The sequence below is a fragment of the Homo sapiens genome, chromosome 19 (assembly GCF_000001405.40).
Source record: "Homo sapiens chromosome 19, GRCh38.p14 Primary Assembly".
NCBI classification, from domain to species: domain Eukaryota; kingdom Metazoa; phylum Chordata; class Mammalia; order Primates; family Hominidae; genus Homo; species Homo sapiens.
The window spans coordinates 18,061,118-18,085,012 of record NC_000019.10 but is presented as its reverse complement, the minus strand read 5'-3'; the positions used below and the strand labels follow the sequence as shown (position 1 = coordinate 18,085,012).

At 50.9% G+C, this 23,895-nt stretch overlaps 1 protein-coding gene across 25 annotated transcripts in view, besides 1 other annotated feature; it reads left to right on the top strand.

The window, feature by feature from the left end:
- IL12RB1 (interleukin 12 receptor subunit beta 1) overlaps positions 1 to 23,895 on the top strand; it is a 39,933-nt gene that overhangs the window by 13,915 nt on the left and 2,123 nt on the right. For 6 of the 25 annotated variants that reach the window (NM_001290024.2, XM_011527975.3, XM_011527969.3 and 3 more), the window contains 14 exons: positions 1,522 to 1,581; positions 2,749 to 2,863; positions 4,012 to 4,181; positions 7,358 to 7,497; positions 8,686 to 8,716; positions 9,145 to 9,264; positions 11,414 to 11,496; positions 12,664 to 12,901; positions 15,300 to 15,467; positions 16,487 to 16,624; positions 18,316 to 18,471; positions 21,003 to 21,137; positions 22,736 to 22,832; positions 23,816 to 23,891. In NM_001290024.2, the coding sequence (NP_001276953.1) occupies positions 1,522 to 1,581; positions 2,749 to 2,863; positions 4,012 to 4,181; positions 7,358 to 7,497; positions 8,686 to 8,716; positions 9,145 to 9,264; positions 11,414 to 11,496; positions 12,664 to 12,901; positions 15,300 to 15,467; positions 16,487 to 16,624; positions 18,316 to 18,471; positions 21,003 to 21,137; positions 22,736 to 22,832; positions 23,816 to 23,891 (1,727 nt within the window). The other 19 variants (XM_011527972.4, XM_011527966.3, XM_011527971.4 and 16 more) reach the window with 9 other exon arrangements.
- Positions 19,860 to 20,154: an enhancer, noted in NCBI's record as "tiled region #12288; HepG2 Activating non-DNase unmatched - State 4:PromP, and K562 Activating DNase matched - State 5:Enh". NCBI's record gives its function as "activates a minimal TATA promoter and a strong SV40 promoter by Sharpr-MPRA in HepG2 and K562 cells {active_cell/tissue: HepG2 | K562}" and the evidence as "EXISTENCE:reporter gene assay evidence [ECO:0000049][PMID:27701403]".

Here is a 23,895-nt window from a genome sequence, read left to right as displayed (position 1 = left end):
TGCCCTGACTGCTAGTGGGCCAAGTGTGCTTGCCTGGGCCAGCCCTGGCAGGCCTCTCCCTGCCATGCACCCTCTACTGTCTTTCCCCATGCTGGCTTCAGACACTGGTGCCACCCCAGGCACACCTCCACTTCTCTCTGCCCTCCAGACTGTTGGTCTTACTGTTCTTTCCTGCAGGGGTACCTCCCGAGAGTGTCTCCCAAATATGCATCTCAACCTCTGAGGACTAAAGGGTGGTGGATGAATGGATAGACAGGTGGATGGGTGGGTAAATGAATGGATGGATGAATTAATAAATACATGTATGTATGTATGGATGGATGGATGGATGGATGGATGGATGGATGGATGGCTGGATGGATATATCGGTAGGTAGATAAATGGATGGATGGGTGGGTGTATGGATGAATGAATACGTGGATGGATAGATGGATAGATTGGTGACTAGATGGATAGATGGATGGTTGGGTGAATGGATAATGGATTAATGAATGCATGGATGCATGGATAAATACATGGATGGATGGATGGATGGATGGACTAATGAATACATGGATGGATGGGTGAATGGGTGGATGGTGGGATGGATGGATGGATGGATGGATGGATTAATACATGGATGGATGGATGAATGGACGAATGGACGGATAAATGGGTGGATGGTGGGGTGGATGCATGGATTAATACATGGATTGATGGATGGATGGATGGATGGATGGATGGATGGATAGATGGATGGGGGGTGGATGGATGGATGGATGAATACGTGGATGGATGGACGGATGGTGGGGTGGATGGATGGATGTATGAATACGTGGATGGATGGATGGTGGGGCAGATGGATGGATGAGTAGATGGATGAATGAACACATGGATGGATAGATGGATGGGTAGATGCGTGGATGGATGGATGAATACATGGATGGATAAATACATGGATGGATGGGTAAATGGGTGGATGGTGGGGTGGATGGATGGATGGATGGATGGATGGATGGATGGGTAGATGGGTGCATGGATGGATGAATACATGGATGGATGAATACATGGATGGATGGGTGAATGGGTGGATGGTGAGGTGGATGGATGGATGGATAGATGGGTGGATGGATGAATGAATACATGGATGGTTGGATAGATGGATGGGTAGATGAGTGGATGGATGGATGAGTACATGGATGGATGGATGGGTAGATGGGTGGATGGTGGGGTGGATGGATGATGGATGAATACATGGATGGATGGATGGATGGATGGATGGATGGATGGGTGAATGGATGAATTCATGGGTGGATGGATGGGTAGATGGTGGACGGATGAATAAATACATGGATGGATGGGTAGATGGGCAGATAAATACATGGGCAGATGGATGGATGGGTGGTGGTAGGAGGGTGCATAGATGGGAAAGTGGGTGGGTGGGAGGGCTGATGATCACTTGGGTGTAGACCCCAAGGCTGAGCCCTTCTCCCCACACAGTGCAAGGCCAGGAATGTCATTATGTCTTCATTGCCTTTGCAGCTGCCTGCAGAACCAGTGAGTGCTGTTTTCAGGACCCGCCATATCCGGATGCAGACTCAGGTTCGGGGCAGTTCCTCATTGTTGGCTGAGGATTATGTAGGGCTCTGCCTGACCCCATCCACAGCGGCCCCTCCCATGGCCTCCACCACCAGGCCAAAGACCCAGCCCTGCCTGTGGTCTTGGGAGTCCCCACCCCACCACCTGCTGGCCCATTCTTACCAGGTTCAAGTTGCCCTGGAGTAGCCAGCCGCCTCTCTGAACATTATCACTTCCCTAGCATGGTCTCAGGGCTGGTGTCTGTGTCCGTTCAGATTGGTCGGTACATGGGAGAAAGTACCTGTTAAGCATTTTGAAGCCCCCCCCCCAACCTGATAAATTATTAGAACATTTATTTCATTTATTTATTTTTGAGACGGAGTCTTGTTCTGCTGCCCAGGTTGGAGTGCAGTGGCCTGATCACAGCTCACTGCCACCTCCACCTTCCAGGTTCAAGCTATTCTCCAGCCTCAGCCTTCCAAGTAGCTGGGATTACAGGTGCCCGCCACCACACCCGGCTAATTTTTGTATTTTTAGTAGAGACCAGGTTTCACCATGTCGCCCAGGCTGGTCTTGAACTCCTGAGCTCAGGTGATGGTGAGCCACCTGCCTCAGCCTCCCAAAGTGCTGGGATTCCAGGAATGAGCCACCGTGCCCGGCCATATTGTCGGAACATTTATGCTCCTAATGCACCCTGAAAAGGGTCTGAACACTAAGCAGACACGCTGTCCATTCTTTTGTTTGATAACGATTTACTGAGCATCTTCTATGTGCGGACACAGTTCTAGACATAGGCAACTGGCTATGAGCTCAACTAACTTCCCAAGACCACAGCCTAGTGGAAGAGATAGACAACAGGCAAACAAATGTCTATCACAAATGTGATGATGTGTTTTGAAGAACCAGAGGAGGAAAGTTGGGGCCCTGGGGACCCCCCAAAAAAAAACACCAGAGGAGGGTGAGGGATAGAGAGAGAGGTGGCAGGACATCTGGCCTCTGTGAGGACAAGTTAGGAGGCTGAGGATTCGGAATAGGTTGAGGTGAGAGACGGCAGGGGATGAGGTAGGAAGGACGCGGGGAGGGTTTAGGCTGAGGTGACGCTGAAAGATGTAAGCATCACAAAGATTTGTCTTAGGCACGAAGACCCCTCCAGACTCTGGTCTGTTCCCAAGCCTACAGGATCTCTTCCAGGCTCGGCCTCGGGCCCTAGGGACCTGAGATGCTATCGGATATCCAGTGATCGTTACGAGTGCTCCTGGCAGTATGAGGGTCCCACAGCTGGGGTCAGCCACTTCCTGCGGTGTTGGTGAGGACCCCTCTACCATTCCCAAACCCTCACCCACCATCCCACTCTTGCTTCAACCCCCTCTGGTGCCCCTACTCTCGGATGCGTGATCTTGGCTGGGTCAACACTCCTTCCTGGGCTTCAGTTTCTCATCTAAGAAGAGAGAGTTGGAGGATTGTGGTGGGGGGTTGGTCAGTGAAGGTAGGCATCCCAGGGTGGGTGGCCATGAGGGTCTCTCTAGTCCTTTTTTCTTCTTCACCCTTTCACTTATCCACCCATCCAACCATCCATCCATCCATCCATCCATCCATCCATCCATCCATTTTTTCTTTTTTCTTTTTTTCTTTTTTTGAGATGGAGTCTTGCTCTGTTGCCCAGGCTGGAGTGCAGTGGCATGATGTCAGCTCACTGCAACCTCTGCCTCCTGAGTTAGAGTGATTTTCCTGCCTCAGCCTCCTGAGTAGCTGGGACTATAGGCACACGCCACCACACCTGCTAATTTTTGTATTTTTAGTAGAGACAGAGTCTCACCATGTTGGCCAGGCTGGTCTTGAACTCCTGGCCTCAGGTGATCCACCCCCCCTTGGCCTCCCAAAGTGCTGGGATTACAAGCGTGAGGCACTGCGCCCAGCCCTTTCATTCGTTTCTTCGCTGTGTGGTGCAGTCCTTGCTGGGAGATACTGGGGTCCCTCAAACCCCTCCAGTCCCAGACTGATCTCCAAGGAACCCCCAGGCTGGGGGAGGAGGTGTACAAGGGACAGAAAAGGATGCTGGGGGCTGGGCACGGTGGCTCACGCTTGTAATCCCAGCACTTTGGGAGGCTGAGGTGGGCGGATCACTTGAGGCCAGAAGTTGGAGACCAGCCTGGCCAACATGGTGAAACTCCATCTCTACTAAAAATACAAAACTTAGACGCATGTGGTGGCATGTGCCTGTAATCCCAGCTACTAGGGAGGCTGAGGTGGGAGAATTGCTTGAACCAGGGAGGTGGAGGTTGCAGTGAGCCGAGATTGCGCGACTGCACTCCAGCCTGGGTGACAGAATGAAACTCCATCTCCAAACAAACAAACAAACACCAAAAAAACGATGCTGGGATGTGATGCACAAAGTCGGCTGTGGGGTCCACTAGGACCCCAGACTCGGCACTGACACCCTCCTTCCTGCTGCAGCCTTAGCTCCGGGCGCTGCTGCTACTTCGCCGCCGGCTCAGCCACCAGGCTGCAGTTCTCCGACCAGGCTGGGGTGTCTGTGCTGTACACTGTCACACTCTGGGTGGAATCCTGGGCCAGGAACCAGACAGAGAAGTCTCCTGAGGTGACCCTGCAGCTCTACAACTCAGGTTAGCACCTTGTTCTCCCCCCGTCCGTTTTTTACCCAGAGAGGCCATCAGGCTGCAAGGCTGGAGCTAGAGAGGATTCCTGGCCCTTGGCAAGGGACTTGATACTACTAGCCATTGTCACTTCACGTAGTGTCACGCAAACACTATTGTGACAAAGCAGTCTTTCATGGTCCCCTTACCAATCCCCTATTCGTGGGCACTTAGATTGCTTCTGGTTTCTCTCTGCTAGCCATAATGCTGCCAAGACCTGGTTGGGTTCTTATTATCTGTTCTCATGACTCGACATCATGTATTTTGCCGGGTGCGGTGGATCACGCCTGTAATCCCAGCACTTTGGGAGGCTGAGGTGGGTGGATCACAAGGTCAAGAGATCGAGACCATCCTGGTCAACATGGTGAAACCCCATCTCTATTAAAAATACAAAAATTAGCCAGGAGTGGCCACGCGCGCCTGTAGTCCCAGCTACTGGGGAGACTGAGGCAGGAGAATCGCTTGAACCCGGGAGGTGGAGGTTACAGTGAGCTGAGATTGAGCCACTGCACTCCTGCCTGGCGACAGAGCAGGACTCCATCTAAAAAACAACAGCAACACACAAAAAAGCCAAAAAAATTTGCCTGGTGTGGTGGTGCATGCCTGCAATCCCAGCTACCCAGGAGGCTGAGGCGGGAGAATGGCTTGAATCCAGGAGGCAGATGTTGCAGTGAGCTAAGATCAAGTCACTGCATTCCAGCCTGAGTGACAGAGCAAGACACTGTCTCAAAAAAAAAGAAAAAAAAGAAAAAAGAAAAGAAAAGAATGAAGGAAAACATGTCATTTGCCACAACATGGACAAAGCTGGAGGACATTACGCTGAGTGAAGTAAGCCAGGCACAGAAACAAAAACATTTCATGATCTCACTTACATGTATAATCTTTTTTTCTTTTTTCTTTTTTTTGAGATGGAGTTTCGCTCTGTCGCCCAGGCTGGAGTGCAGTGGCGCGATCTCGGCTCACTGCAAGCTCTGCCTCCTGGGTTCACACCATTCTCCTGCCTCAGCCTCCCCAGTAGCTGGGACTACAGGCGCCCGCCACCGCGCCCGGCTAAGTTTTTGTATTTTTAGTAGAGACGGGGTTTCACCGTGGTCTCGATCTCCTGACCTCATGATCCACCCGCCTCAGCCTCCCAAAGTGCTGGGATTACAGGCGTGAGCCACCGCGCCCATCCCACTTACATGTATAATCTTAAAAAAAAAAAGTCGAATATCTAGGCACCGAAAGTAGAACTGTGGTTACCGGGGATGGAGAGAAGGAGGAAATGGGGGAGATGTAGGTCAAAGGAATACAATTTGTAGTTACGCAGCACAAATAAATCTAGAGTTCCAAGGTACAGTAGAGAACTATAATTAAAAATAATGTATATTGAAAATTTGCTAAAAGAATAGATTTAAGGGCTGGGTGCAGTGGTTCACGCCTGTAATCCTAGCACTTCGAGAGGCCGAGGTGGGAGGATCACCTGAGGTCAGGAGTTCGAGACCAGCCTGACCAACATGGTGAAACCCCATCTCTACTAAAAATACAAAAATTAGCCGAGTGTGGTGGCGGGCGCCTGTAATTCCAGCTACTCGGGATGCTGAGGCAGGAGAATCACGTGAACCTGTGGTATGGAGGTTACAGTGAACCGAGATCACACCACTGCACTCCAGCCTGGGTGACAGAGCGAGACTCCATCTCAAAAAAAAAAAAAAAAATTTTAAGTGTTCTCACCACACACCAAAAAAGTAATTATAGAAGGTGATGGATATGTATATATATTTTTAAGAGATGGGGTCTTGCTGTGTTGGCCAGGGTGGTCTTGAACTCCTGGGCTCAAATGATCCTCCTGTCTTGGCCTCCCAAAGTGCTTCGAGTACAGGCGTGGGCCCCTGTGCCTGGCCATGGATATGTTAAATTCCTTACTGTAGTAATCATTTCACTATGGATATGTATATCAAACCATCATACCTCTTAAATTTATACAATGATATAAAAAAAGAATCAGGCCGGGTATGACCACGGTGCAGCAAGACTATTTTATGCTAATTTATGTCTCTCCTTGGGTCAGGTTCCTTGAAATAGATCTAAAAACTAAGTACGATTTCCCTGATAGTTCTAAACAAACAAACAAACAAAAAAAGAATTGGCTGGACACAGTGGCTCATGCCTATAATCCCAGCACTTTGGGAGCCCGAGGTGGGCGGATCACCCCCAAGAGACAGGCACTTTTGTAAATTGCTTACCAGAATTGATTACCCTCTGGCAAGCAATTTACAAAAGTGCCCGTCTCTTCACAGCCTTGCCAGCAATGGGTGTTAATATTTTAAAGTTATCTTCACTAACAGGATCCTGTGTATAAATCTTTATTAAAAATTATTTATTTTTAAATTTTAATTTAATTTTAATTTGTTTTGAGACAGAGTCTTGCTCTGTCACCCAGGCCGGAGGGCAGTGGTGGGATCTTGTCTAACTACAACCTCCGCCTCCTGGGTTCAAGCGATTCTCCTGCCTCAGGCTCCCAAGTAGCTGGGATTACAGGTGCCCACCACCATGCCTGGCTAATTTTTGTATTTAGTAGAGACGGTGTTTCACCGTGTTGGCCAGGTTGGTCTTAAACTCCTGACCTCAGATGATCCACCCACCTTGGCTTCCCAAAGTGCTAGGATTACAGCTATGAGCCACTGCTCCTGGCCATATTTGTTGTTTTTTTAGAGACAAGTTCTCCCTCTCTCTCCTAGATTGGAGAGCAGTGGTGTGATCAGGGCTCACTTCAGCCTCAGCCTCCTAGGCTCAAGAGATCCTCCCATCTCACTCTCCTAAGTAGCTGGAACCACAGTCATGAACTACCATGCCTGGCTAATTTTTATGTAGAGATGAGGGGGTCTCACTATGTTGCCCAGGCTGGTCTCGAACTCCTGGGCTTAAGTGATCTTCCTGCCTTGGCCTCCCAAAATACTGGAATTACAGGGTGAGCCACCGTATGTGGCTTGTGTATAAATCTTGACTTTTTGATCATAATATACCAGGCTTAGCTGGGACCTGCAAGTGTCCCCTAATTCATATTTAGGGATTCAGTTGCTTACCCTGGACAGGGTGGATTTTCAGGGCCCATTAACTCACATACGTGTGGGCTGCCCCTCGCCAATCCCTACCTCTGCTTCCAGTTAAATATGAGCCTCCTCTGGGAGACATCAAGGTGTCCAAGTTGGCCGGGCAGCTGCGTATGGAGTGGGAGACCCCGGATAACCAGGTTGGTGCTGAGGTGCAGTTCCGGCACCGGACACCCAGCAGCCCATGGAAGTTGGTGAGTTTGTTTCCCAAGTCCAGGGTGGACACGGGCCTCTCCAGGGCACCTTCACCCCCAAATCAGTCTCACCATCTCTGCATCTGTCCCCGCTCCCAACCAGCCCCCACTCTAGCCCCTGAGGTGGTTTTTTTCTTTTTCTTTTTTTTTTTCTGAGACGGAGCCTTGCTCTGTCGCCCAGGCTGGAGTGCAGTGGCATGATCTCAGCTCACTGCAACCTCTGCCTCCCGGGTTCAAGCGATTGTCCTGCGTCAGCCTCCCGAGTAGCTGGGATTACAGGCATGCGCCCACTACCACACGCAGCTAATTTTTGTATTTTTAGTAGAGACGGGGTTTCGCCATGTGGGCCAGGCTGGTCTCAAACTCCTCAGGTGATCCGCCCACCTTGGCCTTCCAAAGTGCTGGGAATACAGGCATGAACCACCACGCCTTGCTCCCACTAAAATTTTTTAAAATAAATTTTTTCTTTTGGAATAACCTTCGATTTTCAGAAAAGTTACTATATAAACTGGTGCAGAGAACGCCCATATATCCTTTACCCAAACTCCTCTAATGTTAATGTCTTACATAAACTCCAGGCATTATTTGAATGTCACCAATTTTTCCAGGAATGTCTTTTTTCTGCTCCCAGATTCAATCCAGGATCCCACATTGTGTTTAGTAAAATAATTATTAATTTTTAAAATTTAGTTATAATAATTTTTTACTGCTTTATATGTTCCTAAAGAAGGTTTGAACCTAGAGAAGGTTCTCTAGTAATTAACGATAGAAATAATCCCTGGAAGTATGGTCTTTAATTTAAAAAAATTTAGCGAGGTGCGGTGGCTCACGCCTGTAATCCCAGTGCTTTGGGAGGCCGAGTTGGGGTGGGATTGCTTGAGGCCAGGAGTTTGAGACCAGCCTGGGCAACATGGTGAAATCCCGTCTCTACCAAAAATGCAAAAATTAGCTGAGTGTGATGGTGCATGCCTGTAGTCCCAACTACTCAGGAGACTGAGGCGGGAGGATCACCTGAGCCCTGGGAGGTTGAGGCTTCAATAAGCCATGATTGCACCACTGCACTCCAGCCTAGATGACAGAGTGAGACCGTGTCTCAGATAAATAAGTAAATAAATAACTAATTGTAAAACAGCAAATATTTTTCAGCACCAAAATGCAAAACAATATATGAATATGTTTTTATTCTAGGGCGACTGCGGACCTCAGGATGATGATACTGGTGAGAATAATAATAGTAATGACAACAACAGCTGCAGCAAATTGGCATTAATTGAGCACCTACTGTATGCCAGGTCCAATGCTGAATTTTTTTGTATGCCTCTTACCCTGCCCCATAGTTCAGTATTGGATTCTTTCCAAATTGCAGGTGGGGAAACAAATCACGACTTGGAGGGGGTGAGAAGCCTTTGGCCAAGGTCACGACCGAAGGGATGGCCGCAGCCAGGACTTGAACTGAGGGGCAGGGATGGACGTGGGTGATCCTGGAGGCCCTAAGAGGACAGGGCCTGGCCTGCTTCTGCTGAGCCCCCAGGACCCAGCACGTGGCTCTGTACACAGTTGGAGCTCAATAAGCACATGATGGTTAAGTGACTGGTGCCAAGTCCTGGACAATTCTTACGGCCTGATGTTCGACCTGCCTCTCCCCAGAGTCCTGCCTCTGCCCCCTGGAGATGAATGTGGCCCAGGAATTCCAGCTCCGACGACGGCAGCTGGGGAGCCAAGGAAGTTCCTGGAGCAAGTGGAGCAGCCCCGTGTGCGTTCCCCCTGGTAAGATCACTCTGAGTACAGGAACAGGGGCAAGCATTAGAAATAAGGCAACAGCCGGAGGTGGTGGTGCACACCTGTAGTTCCAGCTGCTCAGAAGGCTGAGGCGGGAGGATCACTTGAGGCCAGTGGTTTGAGACCAGCCCGGGCAACATAGTGAGACCCCATCTCTAAAAAATAAAATAAAATGGGGCTGGGCGTGGTGGCTGATGCCTGTAATCCCAGCACTTTGGGAGGCTGAGGCGGGCAGATCACTTGAGGTCAGGAGTTCGAGACCAGCCTGGCCAACATGGTGAAACCCCTTCTCTACTAAAAATACGAAAATTAGCTGGGCGTGGTGGCGGGAGCCTGTAATCCCAGCTACTTGGGAGGCTGAGGCAGGAGAATCCCTTGAACCCGGGAGGTGGAGGTTGCAGGGATCCAAGATCACACCACTGCACTCCAGCCTGGGTGACAGGGCCAGACTCTGTCTCAAAAAAAAGTAAAAAAAAAAAAAAAAGTAATAATAAAATAAAATGGAAAAAGAAATAAGGCAGCAGGTATTAGAAACAAGGTGGTGAGTGTTAGAAATAAGGCAGAGGGAGAAATGGGTGCTCAAACCCTGACAATGTGGCATCCGGTCTTGCTGCACCCACTTTAGGGTTTTTTGCTGCTGTTTTTTTTGTTTGTTTGTTTGTTGTTTTTTGTTGTTTTTTTTTTTGAGACGGAGTCTCACTCTGTCACCCAGGCTGGAGTGCAGTGGCGCCATCTCGGCTCACTGCAAGCTCCGCCTCCCGGGTTCACGCCATTGTCCTGCCTCAGCCTCCCAAGTAGCTGGGACTACAGGTGTCTGCAACCACGCCCGGTTAATTTTTTGTATTTTTTAGTAGAGACGGGGTTTCACCATGTTAGCCAGGATGGTCTCAATCTCCTGACCTCGTGATCTGCCCTCCTCGGCCTCCCAAAGTGCTGGGATTACAGGCGTGAGCCACCGCGCCCGGCCTACTGCTATTTTTTGTTTTGTTTTGAGACTGTCTTGCTCTGTCACCCTGGCTGGAGTGCAGTGGTGTGATCTTGGCTCACTGCAACCTCCGCCTCACGGGTTCAAGCGATTCTCCTGCCTCAGCCTCCAGAGTAGCTGGGATTTACAGGCATGCACCACCACGCCCAGCTAATTTTGTATTTTTAGTAGAGATGGGGTTTCGCCATGTTTGCCCGGCTGGTCTCGAACTCCTGGCCTCAAGTGATCCTCCCACCACGGTCTCCCAAAGTGCTAGAATTCCAGGTATGAGCCACTGCGCTCAGCCCACTACAGGGCTTTATCAAGTGAGAATCATCAGGCTGAACCTCACGGTGTCTCAAGGACAATGTCACCTGCAGGTGGCAGGGTGTACTAAACAGCTGCTGCCCTGAGCCTGGGCAACAGGAAAATGAGTGAGAGGGTTTCAAACCATGCAGAAAGGCCTGGCGCTGTGGTTTATGCCTGTAATCCCAGCACTTTGGGAGGCCGAGGCCAGAGGATTGTTTGAGGCCAGGAGTTTGAGACAAGCCTGGGAATCAAAACGAGACTCTGTCTCTAGTCTATAAAACAACAGCAACAACAACAAAACCATGCAGAGAAATACATTTGCATTCAAAAAGGAACTTAGAGGCCAGGCGCAGTGGCTCACGCCTATAATTCCAGCAGTTTGGGAGGCCGAGGCAAGTGGATCACAAGGTCAGGAGTTCAAGAACAGCCTGACCAACATGGTGAAACCCCGTCTCTACTAAAAATACAAAAATTAGCCGGACATGGTGGTGCATGCCTGTAATCCCAGCTACTTGGAAGGCTGAGGCAGGAGAATCGCTTGAACCCAGAAGGCAGAGATTGCAGTGAGCCGAGATCGCACCAGTGCACTCCAGCCTAGGTAATAGAGTGAGACTTCGTCTCAAAAAGCAAACGAACAAACAAACAAACAAAAAACCTTAGGCAACATGAGATTACAGGTGGCAGTTATCCCTGGGGATGCAAATTGTGTTAATTTTTCTTCCTTCAGTTTTTTCTCTTTTCTGCAATTTGGGGCAGCAAGGGATTTTCACTTTGTAAATGTGGAGAATCCATCATTTACAAAGAAAACATCCATCAGTCTTTCTCTCCTTCCAATTCGTCTAGTTGGTTTGGTTCTGATTGCAGAAAACCCCCCACAGCCTCAGGTGAGATTCTCGGTGGAGCAGCTGGGCCAGGATGGGAGGAGGCGGCTGACCCTGAAAGAGCAGGTAACGGGGCTGTCACAGGGCTGTGGGGTGGCCTGGGATGGGGAGCAGGAGGCAAAAGCCTAGGCGGGGGATGAGCAAGTGGTAGATGGAGGGAGATGAGATGTAGAGGTGGCAGGAAGTGGGCAAATTGTGGGTTTAACTCTGAAGGTAATAGGGAGCCATGGAGTGTGTGTGTGAGCAGGAGAGGCACATGACTGGACTCAGATGTTCACAGACTTTCCCTGGCTCCTGTGTGAGAAACAGAGTGTGGGGGAATTGCACAGAAGCCAGAAGGCCAGGAAGGAGATAATGGTGACTGCATTTGCCTGGGTAGCAGATTATTGCTTTAAGTCCCAAAACAACCCATTAAGTGCAGTCTGATTAGTTTACAGAGAGGGAAACTGAGGCATAGAGGGAGTATCTCTGTTGAGACAAAACTGACAAATACTCCACTCGTTGACTTTACCATAGTCATCTTAGTCAGGTCCCTAATGGGCTGTTACTATAAGGCTGTAGCAAAAATCCTTTATTTCCTATGTTCCTCTAACTCAAATTCCTCTTCTTTTTTTTCCTTTTTTTTTTTTTTTTTTTGAGATGGAGTCTTGCTCTGTCGCCCAGGCTGGAGTGCAGTGGCGCCATCTCGGCTCACTACAAGCTCCGCCTCCCGGGTTCACGCCATTCTCCTGCCTCAGCCTCCCGAGTAGCTGGGACTACAGGCGCCCACCACCATGCCGGGCTAATTTTTTGTATTTTTAGTAGAGACGGGGTTTCACCGTGTTAGCCAGGATGGTCTCAATCTCCTGACCTCATGATCTACCCGTCTCGGCCTCCCAAAGTGCTGGGATTAGAGGCGTGAGCCCCCGTGCCCGGCCTCTCAAATTCCTTTTCTAAGGAAAAATTTTCTGCTTGAGGTAACTGGGTTAAAAGATGGAAACATTTTTGTTTTCCTGAATGTCAGTGGGTTTTGTCAATTTCCCACCTCCCTCAAGCTAGATGTGTGCGGGAGGTGAATGCCTGTCTCACAGCAGCTTTGCCAGCATTGAGGTTTATTATTCTTTTAATTTTTGATGCATGTTATTGGCTGTGGCCTTTGTCCAAGTCTGTCTTCATAGGCTGTGCCCTGCTGTCTGCCTATGGGATGATGAGTGTGATCAGGTACCCACAAGCTGTCTTTCATACTCCTGACAGCCAACCCAGCTGGAGCTTCCAGAAGGCTGTCAAGGGCTGGCGCCTGGCACGGAGGTCACTTACCGACTACAGCTCCACATGCTGTCCTGCCCGTGTAAGGCCAAGGCCACCAGGACCCTGCACCTGGGGAAGATGCCCTATCTCTCGGGTGCTGCCTACAACGTGGCTGTCATCTCCTCGAACCAATTTGGTCCTGGCCTGAACCAGACGTGGCACATTCCTGCCGACACCCACACAGGTGCCTCCTCTGGGTGGGGAGGGCGGTATGAGGGCCCCTCAGAGCTGAGCACCTACTCTGAGCCTCAGCTAGACCAGGGTGAGAGGAGCGAGGCAGAAAATTTTAAAGGAGTGCCTGATTTAGGGGTGTATCAAAAATTCAGTAATCAGCCAGGCACGGTGGCTCACACCTGTAATCCCAGCACTTTGGGAGGCTAAGACAGGTGAATCACCTGAGGTCAGCAGTTCGAGACCAGTCTGGCCAACGTGGTGAAACCCAGTCTCTACTAAAAATACAAAAATTAGCTGAGTGTGGTGGCTGTAGTCCCAGCTACTTGGGAGGCTGAGGCAGGAGAATCGCTTGAACCCAGGAGCCAGAGGTTGCAGTGAGCCAAAATTGTGCCATTGCACTCCAGCCTGGGCAACAAAGAGCAAGACTGTGTCAAAAAAAAAAAATTCAATAATCAAGATCCATAATGCAGTTTTTTGTTGTTGTTGGTTTGTTTTTTTTAAGAGACAGAGTTTTGCTATGTTGCCCAGGCTGGACTTGAACTTCTGGGCTCAAGCAATCTTTCTCCCTCAGCCTCCCAAATAGCTGGGAATATAGGCATGTGCCATCATACCTGGCTATTATGCATTATTAAAGAACAACAACAAAAACTAGCTGAGCCACTGCGCTCCACCCTGGTTGATAGAGCTACACTCTTTTTCAAAAAAGAAAAAAGAGAGAAAGAAAGAAAAAAGGCTAGAGTTGACCCTGTGTTTATTTAAGATCTAATTTCTTTTTTTTCTTGTGACAGATGGCATGATCTCAGCTCACTGCAACCTCCGCCTTCCAGATTCAAGAGATTCTCCTGCTTCAGCCTCCCGAGTAGCTGGGATTACAGGCATCTGCCACCATACCCGGCTAATTTTGTATTTTTAGTAGAGACGGGGTTTCACCACGTTGGCCAGGCTGGTCTCGAACTCCTGACCTCAAGTGATCCACCTGCCTTGGCCTCCCAAAGTGTTGGGATTATAGGCGTGAGCCACCATGCCCAGCCTAATTTTTGTATTTTTAGTAGAGATGGAGTTTCACCATGTTGCCCAGGCTGGTCTCAAACTCCTGCCCTCAGGTGATCCACCCACCTCAGCCTCTCAAAGTGCTGGGATTACAGGTGTGAGCCACTGTGGCCGACCTACTATTTTTATTATTTTTGAGCTAGGTTCTCAGTCTGTTGGCAGACTGGAGTGCAATCATGGCTCACTGCAGCCTTGAACTCCCAGACTCAAGTGATCCTTCCACCTCAGCCTCTGGAGTAGCTGGGACTACAGACATGCACCACCACACCTGGTTAATTTTTTATTTTTATTTTTTGTAGAGACAGGTGTCTCTCTACGTTGCCCAGGCTGGTCTCGAACTCCTGGGCTCAAGTGATCCACCCATCTCCACCTCCCAAAGTGCTAGGATTACAGGCGTGAGCCACCGTACCCAGCCTGGTCCCATATCATAGTGAAATGGTGCCTGTAAAGCTCTCAGCATTGGCTTGGCACATGCAGTTGGTACTCAATAAACGGCTGTTGCTATCCCCAGAATTGCAAGCAGTATCCATCTCTCTGACATTCATGAAGACGCCCTGGCGGGAGGGAGTGGGAGAGATTTGCCCAGGGACTGAGTGGGTGTGTGCTCGTGCTTCTGAGTTTGGCATGAGACCACCAGTGGCGCCGGTCAGGCCAGGGAGGCCTAGTCTTGCATCACACTCTCCGCCTAGGCTAGGCAAGTGGTGGGCAGCCAGGTATCTGCCACAGCCGGAGACGCCTACAAGGCTGGAAGTGGGTGTAATGGCAGTACAGGAAGCTCTCATGGTGAATATCCTGGCAAGGAGACAGCAGTTAGGCTGGAGGAGGACTCAGCTCATTCAAACACCACCTGCTGACTGGATGCGGCGGATTATGCCTGTAATCCCAGCACTTTGGGAAGCCAAGGCAGGTGGATCACTGGAGGTCAGGAGTTCGAGACCAGCCTGGGCAACACGGTGAAACCCCATCTCCACCAAAAAATAATAATAAATTAGCCAGGAAATGGTGGCGCATGCCTGTGGTCCCAGCTACTCAGGAGGCTGAGGCAGGAGACTCATTTGAACCCGGGAGGCTGAGGTTGCAGGGAGCCGAGATCATGCCACTGCACTCCAGCCTGGGCGACAGAGCAAGAATCCGTCTCCAAAGAAAAAACAAAAAAAAACAAACGCCATCTGCTACCCACTTTGTGCCTGGCCCCAAGGCAGCCTCCAGTGCAGGGAAACAGCCAAACACAGACACCCCTGGCCCTGTAGGGTCAGGGGTATAGACGAGAGGGTGGGAGAGAGGCTGCAGGAGCCAGAGAAGGGGACTGGGGAGAGAGATGGCAACTGTCTCGATGCGTCTCTCCCCTCTCCTTCCAGAACCAGTGGCTCTGAATATCAGCGTCGGAACCAACGGGACCACCATGTATTGGCCAGCCCGGGCTCAGAGCATGACGTATTGCATTGAATGGCAGCCTGTGGGCCAGGACGGGGGCCTTGCCACCTGCAGCCTGACTGCGCCGCAAGACCCGGATCCGGCTGGAATGGGTAATGGCCTGGAATGGCCTGCGCCTACCCCTCCTCTGTGCCCTCCCTTTTAGGTCCTGGTGGGTTCAAACCTGCAGGGAAGGCACACAGCGGGTGTCTAAGGCCCAGAGAGGTGTTGCTGCTTACTCAATGTCATACAGAGGTAGGGACAGGGTGAGGTTCGGAGCCTCTCACCCATATGGGTCTGGAACCTCTTGCTGGCATCCTGAGCTCAGTTCCAGGCAGATCACACACATACAGGTAATGAATCTCACATCCCAAGGTGTTTGTTAAATATTCAACCGCGCCAGGGAAGGTGGCAGTTCGCGAGATGCTGGTGGCAAATTAATGAGCAGTCTTTAGGGAAAGGGGGGCCGTGAGGCTCAGGTGGCCTCTCACTCTCCCGCTTCCTGCTCTGGGCCTTGCCAGAGCCCCAGAAAGCCTCAGCCTCAGCCTGTTCCTTGAAGAATACACAGCCTGAGGAGACAGAACTGGACACGGAACCCCTGACCCCATTGTCCGGGCAAGGTGGCTAACACCTGTAATCCCAGCACTTTGGGAGGCTGAGGCAGGTGGATCAACAGAGGTCAGGAGTTCGAGACCAGCCTGGCCAACATGGAGAAACCCTGTCTCTACTAAAAATATAAAAATTAGCCAGGCATGATGGTGTGCACCTGTAAATCCCAGCTACTCAGGAGGCTGAGACAGGAGAATCGCTTGAACCCGGGAGGCAGGGATTGCAGTGAGTCAAGATTGCGCTATTGCACTCCAGCCTGGGTGACACAGCGAGACTCCATCTCAAAAAAAAAAAAAAAAGAAGCCCTGGTTCCATGGAGTAAGGGCTGGGTTAGAGGGGGATGGGGATGGGGTTGGGGGTGTTGCATAGGGAAGAGATCTTGGAGGAGGGGATATTGGTGCAAGGGCTTTGAAACATGAGTAGGAGTTTTCTGGGGGTTCCTGGCAGATGGCACAGCCAGTGCAAAGGTGCAGAGGTGGGAACACAATCTACTGAATGGCCTGGCCTTTGCTTATCCTTCCAGCAACCTACAGCTGGAGTCGAGAGTCTGGGGCAATGGGGCAGGAAAAGTGTTACTACATTACCATCTTTGCCTCTGCGCACCCCGAGAAGCTCACCTTGTGGTCTACGGTCCTGTCCACCTACCACTTTGGGGGCAATGGTAAGTGACCCAAACCTGCAGGTTTACATTATTTTTTCTTTTTAAATAATTTAAAAAAATAGAGGCTGGGCACAGTGACTCACGCATGTAATCCCAGCACTTTGGGAGGCCAAGGTGGGTGGATCACCTGAGGTCAGGAGTTTGAAACCAGCCTGGCCAATGTGGCGAAACCCTGTCTCTACTAAAAATACAAAAATTAGCCGGGTGTGGTGGCGGGTGCCTGTAATTCCAGATACTTGGGAGGCTGAGGCAGGAGAATCGCTTGAACCCAGGAGGCGGAGGTTGCAGTGAGCTGAGATCATGCCACTGTACTCCAGTCTGGGTGACAGAGCAAGACTCTGTCTCAAAAAAAAAAAAAAAAAAAAAAAAAAGGACAATGCTGTTAAGGCAGACAGAATGGCTCACCCCTGTAATCCCAGCACTTTGGCACTTTGGGAGGCTGAGGCTTGTGGATCACTTGAACCCAGGAGTTCAAGAACAGCCTGGGCAACATAGCAAGACCCCGTCTCTACAGAAAGAAAAAAGTTTGCCAGCCATGGTGGCATGTGCCTGTAGTCCCAACTACTCAGGAGGCTGAGGTGGTAAGATCACTTGATCCCAGGAGTTTGAGGCTGCAGTGAGCTATGATTGCACCACTGCAATCATACAACCTCTGCCTCCCGGGTTCAAGCCATTCTCCTTCCTCAGCCTCCTGAGTAGCTGGGATTATAGGTGTGCACTACCATGCCTGGATAATTTTTTGTATCTTTAGTAGAGACAGGGTTTTAGCATGTTGGCCAGGCTGGTCTCAAATGCCTAACCTCGTGATCCACCTGCCTTGGCCTCCCAAAGTGCCGGGATTACAGGTGTGAGCCACTGCGCCCGGCCAGCATTGTCCATTTTATAGATAAGAAAACTGAGGCCCAGGGAAGGGAAATGACAGTGACTGAGTGGCAGAACCAGAATTAAAACCCAGCTCACCTGACTCTGTGGCCAATGTTACCTCCGTCTCTGGACAGTGGGAGGCTGGGCATTCAGGAAGTGCTCAACCAGCACTCCTTTTTTTTTTTTTTTTTTTTTTTTCTTGAGACAGAGTCACTCTCTGTGGCCCAGGCTGGAGTGCAGTGGCACGATCTTGGCTCACTGAAACCTCTGCATCCCGGGTTCAAGCGATTCTCGTGCCTCAGCCTGCCGAGTAGCTGGGATTACAGGCGCCCACCATCATGCCTGGCTAATTTTTGTAGTTTTAGTAGAAACAGGGTTTCCCCATGTTCCTCAGGCTAGTCTCGAACTCCTGACCTTAAGTGATCTACCCACCTTGGCCTCCCAATATGCTGGGATTGCAGGCATGAGCCATCGTGGCTGGGCTTTTTTTTTTTTTTAAAGACAGGGTCTTGCTCTGTTGCCCAGGCTGGAGTGCAGTGGTGCCATCTTGGCTCACTGCAACCTCTGCCTCCTGGGCTCAAGTGATTCTCCTGCCTCAGCCTCCTGAGTAGCTGGGATTACAGGTGTCCGCCACCATGCCTGGCTAATTTTTGTATTTTTAGTAGAGAAGGGGTTTTGCCATGTTGGCCAGGCTGGTCTTGAACTCCTGGCCTCAAATGACTTACCCACCTCGGCCTCCCAAAGTGCTGGGATTACAGGTGCGAGCCACTGTGCCAGGCCTCGACCAGCATTCTTGGTGTTGACTATGACAATGGTACTGGTTGCAGCCTCAGCAGCTGGGACACCGCACCACGTCTCGGTGAAGAATCATAGCTTGGACTCTGTGTCTGTGGACTGGGCACCATCCCTGCTGAGCACCTGTCCCGGCGTCCTAAAGGAGTATGTTGTCCGCTGCCGAGATGAAGACAGCAAACAGGTGTCAGGTACGTGAGGCAGTGCAGACCTGGCTTGGGGAGGAAGGGAGGATCCTGGCCTGTGATCTCTCTTGCTGTGTGACCCTGGGCACCTTGCCGTCCTTCTCTGGGCCTTGGTTATCAAACCCTTAAAACAAGAGAATTGGCTGGGCGCAGTGGCTCACGCCTGTAATCCCAGCACTTTGGGAGGCCAAGGCGGGCGGATCACCTGAGGTCAGGAGTTCAAGACCAGCCTGACAAACTTGGAGAAACCCCGTCTCTCCTAAAAATACAAAATTAGCCGGGCATGGTGGCACATGCCTGTAATTCTAGCTACACGGGAGGCTGAGGCAGGAGAATCGCTTGAACCCAGGAGGCGGAGATTGCAGTGAGCCGAGATTGTACCAGTGCACTCCAGCCTGGGTGACAGAGTGAGACTCTGTCTCAGAAAAAACAAAAACGAAAACAAACAAACAAAAAACAAAAACAAGAGAATTAGACTTGAGGGTCTTTTTTTTTTTTTTTTTAATTTTATAGACAGGGACTCACTCTGTGCCCAGGCTGGAGTGCAGTGGTGCCATCATAGCTCACAGCAGCCTCAACCTCCTGGGCTCAAGCGATCCTCCCACCTCAGCCTCCCTAGTAGCTGGAAACACAGGTGCACACCACCATGCACAGTTAATATTTTATTTTTTGTAGAAATGAGGCCTTGCTATATTGCCCAGGCTGGGATTTTTTCTTTTTTTTCTTTTTGAGAGGGAGTCTGTCTCTGTCACCCAGGCTGGAGTGCAGTGGCGCCATCTCAGCTCACTGCAACCTCTGCCTCCCGGGTTCAGGCAATTCTCTTGCCTCAGCCTCCCAAGTAGCTGGGATTACAGGCACCCACCACCATGCCTGGCAAATTTTTGTATTTTTAGCAGAGACGGAGTTTCACCATGTTGACCAGGCTGGTCTCAAACTCTTGACCTCAGGTGAATCACCCGCCTTGGCCTCCCAAAGGGCTGGGATTACAGGTGTGAGCCACCGTGTCCGGCCTCGCTCAGGCTGGTTTCAAACTTCTGGCCTCAAACTATCCTCCCACCTTGGCCTCCCAAAGTGCTGGGATTAGTCATGAGCACCCAGCTGAACTTGAGGGTCTCGATCACCCCTTGCAGACCCTGGAGAAGGCTGGGTGGGCACCAGCCAAGTGCTTATGGTGTATTGGATTCATCCATGGGAAGCTGCCCCTCACATGTAGCAGCAGCTGAACTCTCATCAAGCAGGGATGACTGTCTCCATTCCACAGATGAGGAAACTAAGGCCTGGAGGGGGGATCTGATGAGGGACAGGAAAGCCCACAAAACAGGGTTTAGCCAGGAGGGTTTTTGGCTTTCCCCAGGAAAGAGTTCAAGTGCATGTCGGTGGTGTTAGACAGAAACTTTTACTGAAGTGGCCGTGTAGAGCAGCAGCAGAAGTCCTGCTCCTTGCAGAGTGGGGACGCCCCACAGGCAGGGCAGCTACGTCTCATATTTATACCCGCTTTTAATTATATGCAAATGAAGGGGCGGTTTATGCAGAAATATCTAGGATGAAGGTAGTAACTTCCGGGTTGTGGGATCATTGCCGTGGACAGGGGCGGTAATTTCCGGGTGTTGCCATGGTAATGGTAAACTGACATGGCACACTGGTGGGCGTGTCTTATGGAAAGCCCAGGACCTGCTTTAGCTAGTCCTCAGTTTGGTCCTGTGTCCAAGCCCTGCCTCCAGAGTCCAATCCTGCCTCCAACCTCAGATCCACCTGCCCAAAGATCCAACAAGTCAGCCGGACGCGGTGGCTCACGCCTGTAATCCCAGCACTTTGGGAGGCTGAGGCGGGCGGATCACTTGAGGCCAGGAGTTCAAGACCAGCCTGGCCAACATGGTGAAACCTCATGTGTATTAAAAATACAAAAAATTAGCTGGCTATGGTGGTGGGCGCCTGTAATCCCGGCTACTCAGGAGGCTGAGGCACAAGAATCGCTTGAACCTGGGAGGTGGAGGTTGCAGTGAGCTGAGATTGTGCCACTGCACTCCAGCCTGGGCAACAGAGTGAGACTCCATCTCAAAAAAAAAAAAAATCTTGAGATGAATGGGCGCATTAAGAGAAGAGATTTTAGGTTGGGCTTGGTGGCTCACACCTGTAATCCCAGCACTTTGGGAGGCCGAGGTGGGCAGATCACGAGGTCAGGAGATCGAGACCATCCTGGCTAACACAGTGAAACCCCGTCTCTACTACAAATACAAAAAATTAGCTGGGCGTGGTGGCGGGCGCCTGTAGTCTCAGCTACTCGGGAGGCTGAGGCAGGAGAATGGTGTGAACCCAGGAGGCAGAGCTTGCAGTGAGCCGAGATGGCGCCACTACACTCCAGCCTGGGCGACAGAGCAAGACTCCGTCTCAAAAAAAAAAAAAAAAAAAGAAAGAAAGAGTAGAGATTTTAGCAAAATGCCTATGAATCCCCACCCCACCCACAGGCTGTGGTAGCCCAGCCTGGCCTCTGAGGAGTAAAGAGGTCCCAGGACTCAGGGTTGCCTCTCCCACTGCAGAGCATCCCGTGCAGCCCACAGAGACCCAAGTTACCCTCAGTGGCCTGCGGGCTGGTGTAGCCTACACGGTGCAGGTGCGAGCAGACACAGCGTGGCTGAGGGGTGTCTGGAGCCAGCCCCAGCGCTTCAGCATCGGTGAGTGGAGGGGGTAGGACCCAGTTATTTACCCAGCATGCACTGCACTGCGCTTCCCACAATGATCTTAGCAGCCCTGCCCTCACTCTCACTCCCTCTATGGCTCCCTACTGCCCTCAGGAGAAAGTAGCAGCTCAAACTGCTCCCATTGCCTTCTCTCGCAGCTTCCTCTCACACTCCAGGAGCCTTGCCCATGCAGGCCCTTCCCTGCCTCCTGCCTGGAATGTTTGTTTTCCACACGGTCCAACTCCTATTCGTCCTTCAAAACTCAGCTCAAAAGTTCCCTCCTCCAGCAAGACTTCTCTGCCTCCTTCTGGCCATGCCCTTGTTTACAACTGTCCCTTCTCCCTGGTCTGACACTGCGGGGTTGGGGTAGATGTGTCAAGGTATCTGGGGGCTCTTGGGGAGGAGGAAGATGCAGGAATCTGTTCATTGAGCGACAAATAAATGAATGCAAAAATAAGGAGGACACAGGCAAAACCCGGTGTGGTGGCTCACACCTGTAATCCCAGCACTTTGGGAGGCTGAGGCTGGAGGATTGCTTGAGCCGAGGAGTTCAAGACCAGCCTGGGCAACATGGTGAGACCTCATCTCTACAAAAAATATTTTTAAAATAGTGGGGTGTGGTGGTGCACACCTGTAGTCTCAGCTGCTCAGGAGGCTGAGGTGGGAGGATGGCTTGAGACCAGGAGTTCAAGGTTGCAGTGAGCCGTGACTGCACCACTGCACTCTGGCCTGGGCGACGGAGCAAGACCCTGTCTCAAAAAAAAAAAAAAAAAAAAAAAAAAAAAAAAAAATAGAAGAAGAAGAAGGAGAAGAAAGAAGAAGAAGAGGAAGAGGAATAGAAGAAGAGGGAGGAGGAGGAGGAGGAGGAGGAAGAGAACAACACAGGCTCTGTTGTCGGGTGCATGGTTATAAGAGATTCAGAGATCAAATGATCCCTGTTCATGCCACGGTGTCCTTTCAGTTCCAAGAGAACCAACTGGAACCCAGAGAACAAAAGAGTCAGGGTTGGTGGGGGGCAGGCAGGCCTGGGTCCAGGGGCAGCCACATGTGCCCTATGTGCAGGCTCCTGGAATTACAGAGTCTTTTTTTATCTTTTTGAGACAGATTTTCCCTCTTATTGCCGAGGCTGGAATGCAATGATGCGATCTCGGCTCACTGCAACCTCCGCCTCCCGAGTTCAAGCGATTCTTCTGTCTCACCCTCCCAAGTAGCTGGGATTACCGGCGCACACCACCACGCCCAGCTAATTTTTGTGTTTTTAGTAGAGACAGGTTTCATCATATTGGTCAGGCTGGTCTCGAACTCCTGACCTCAGGTGATCAGCCCACGTTGGCCTCCCAAAGTGCTGGGATAACAGTCATGAGTCACTGTGCCCGGCCTGGAATTACAGAGTCTTGAACACTTCCTGCATGCCAGGCCTTTATTTCTTGACAGCTACCGGGCAGGTGGGTTCTGTGGTCTCCCAGTGAGAAGCCCGTGGCATGTGCACCAGGATCAGCAGCAAGTTCATGGAGAAACCAGGCCCTCCTAGCTCCTTCCCTGAGGAAGAGGCAGGAGGTAGCCCTCTGCCAACCCACGCTCTCCCACCTCAGAAGTGCAGGTTTCTGATTGGCTCATCTTCTTCGCCTCCCTGGGGAGCTTCCTGAGCATCCTTCTCGTGGGCGTCCTTGGCTACCTTGGCCTGAACAGGTAACTGACACCTCTTACCGTTACCATAGCGATGGTAATGATGCTGGGCAGGGGAGCCCTAAAGTGGAGCTTAGCCCGCAGATTGGGTCCTTGGCTTTGCCCAGGAAATAATTCAAGGGCAAGCCAGAGGTAGAAGAAAACAGCTTTATTGAAGCAGCAGTTATAGCTCCGTGACTGCCTCTGCAGAGCAGGGCTTCCCTGTAGGCGGAGAGTAGCCGCTGAGAGCGGTTTTGCAGTCAGATTTATACTTACTTTTAATTGCATGCAGATTAAGGGGGGCAGTTTATGCAAAATTTCTTTCTTTTTTTTTTCTTTTTTGAGATGGAGTCTTACTCTGTTACCCAGGCTAGAGTGCAGTGGCACGATCTTGGCTTATTGCAACCTCCCCCTCCCGGGTTCAAGCCATTCTCCTGTCTCAGCCTCCCAAGTAGCTGGGACTACAGGTGCGTGCCATCACACCCAGCTATTTATTTTGTATTTTCAGTAGAGATAGGGTTTCACCATGTTGGCCAGGCTGGTCTTGAACTCCTGACCTCAGGTGATCCTATGCAGAAATTTCTAGGGAAGGGATAGTAACTTTTGGGTCCTTGGTCATTCCCATGGAAAGGGGCGGTGACACTGGTGGGCATGTCTGATTGAAAGCTGCTTTCAAGCCGGGCACGGTGGCTCACTCCTGTAATCCCAGCACTTTGGGAGGCTGAGGCAGGCAGATCGCTTTAGGCCAGGAGTTGGACACCAGCCTGGCCAACATGGCGAAACCTCTCTCTACCAAAACTACAAAAATTAGCCGGGTGTGGTGGCACACGTTTGTAATCTCAGCTACTCAGGAGGCTGAGTCAGGAGAATCGATTGAACCCAGGAGGCAGAGGTTGCAGTGAGCCGAGATCGCGCCACTGCACTCCAGCCTGGGCAACAGAGCAAGACTCCGTCTCCAAAAAAAAAAAAAACCTCAGCTCCTCTCACTGGTCCCCTTTCCTCCCCAGGGCCGCACGGCACCTGTGCCCGCCGCTGCCCACACCCTGTGCCAGCTCCGCCATTGAGTTCCCTGGAGGGAAGGAGGTAA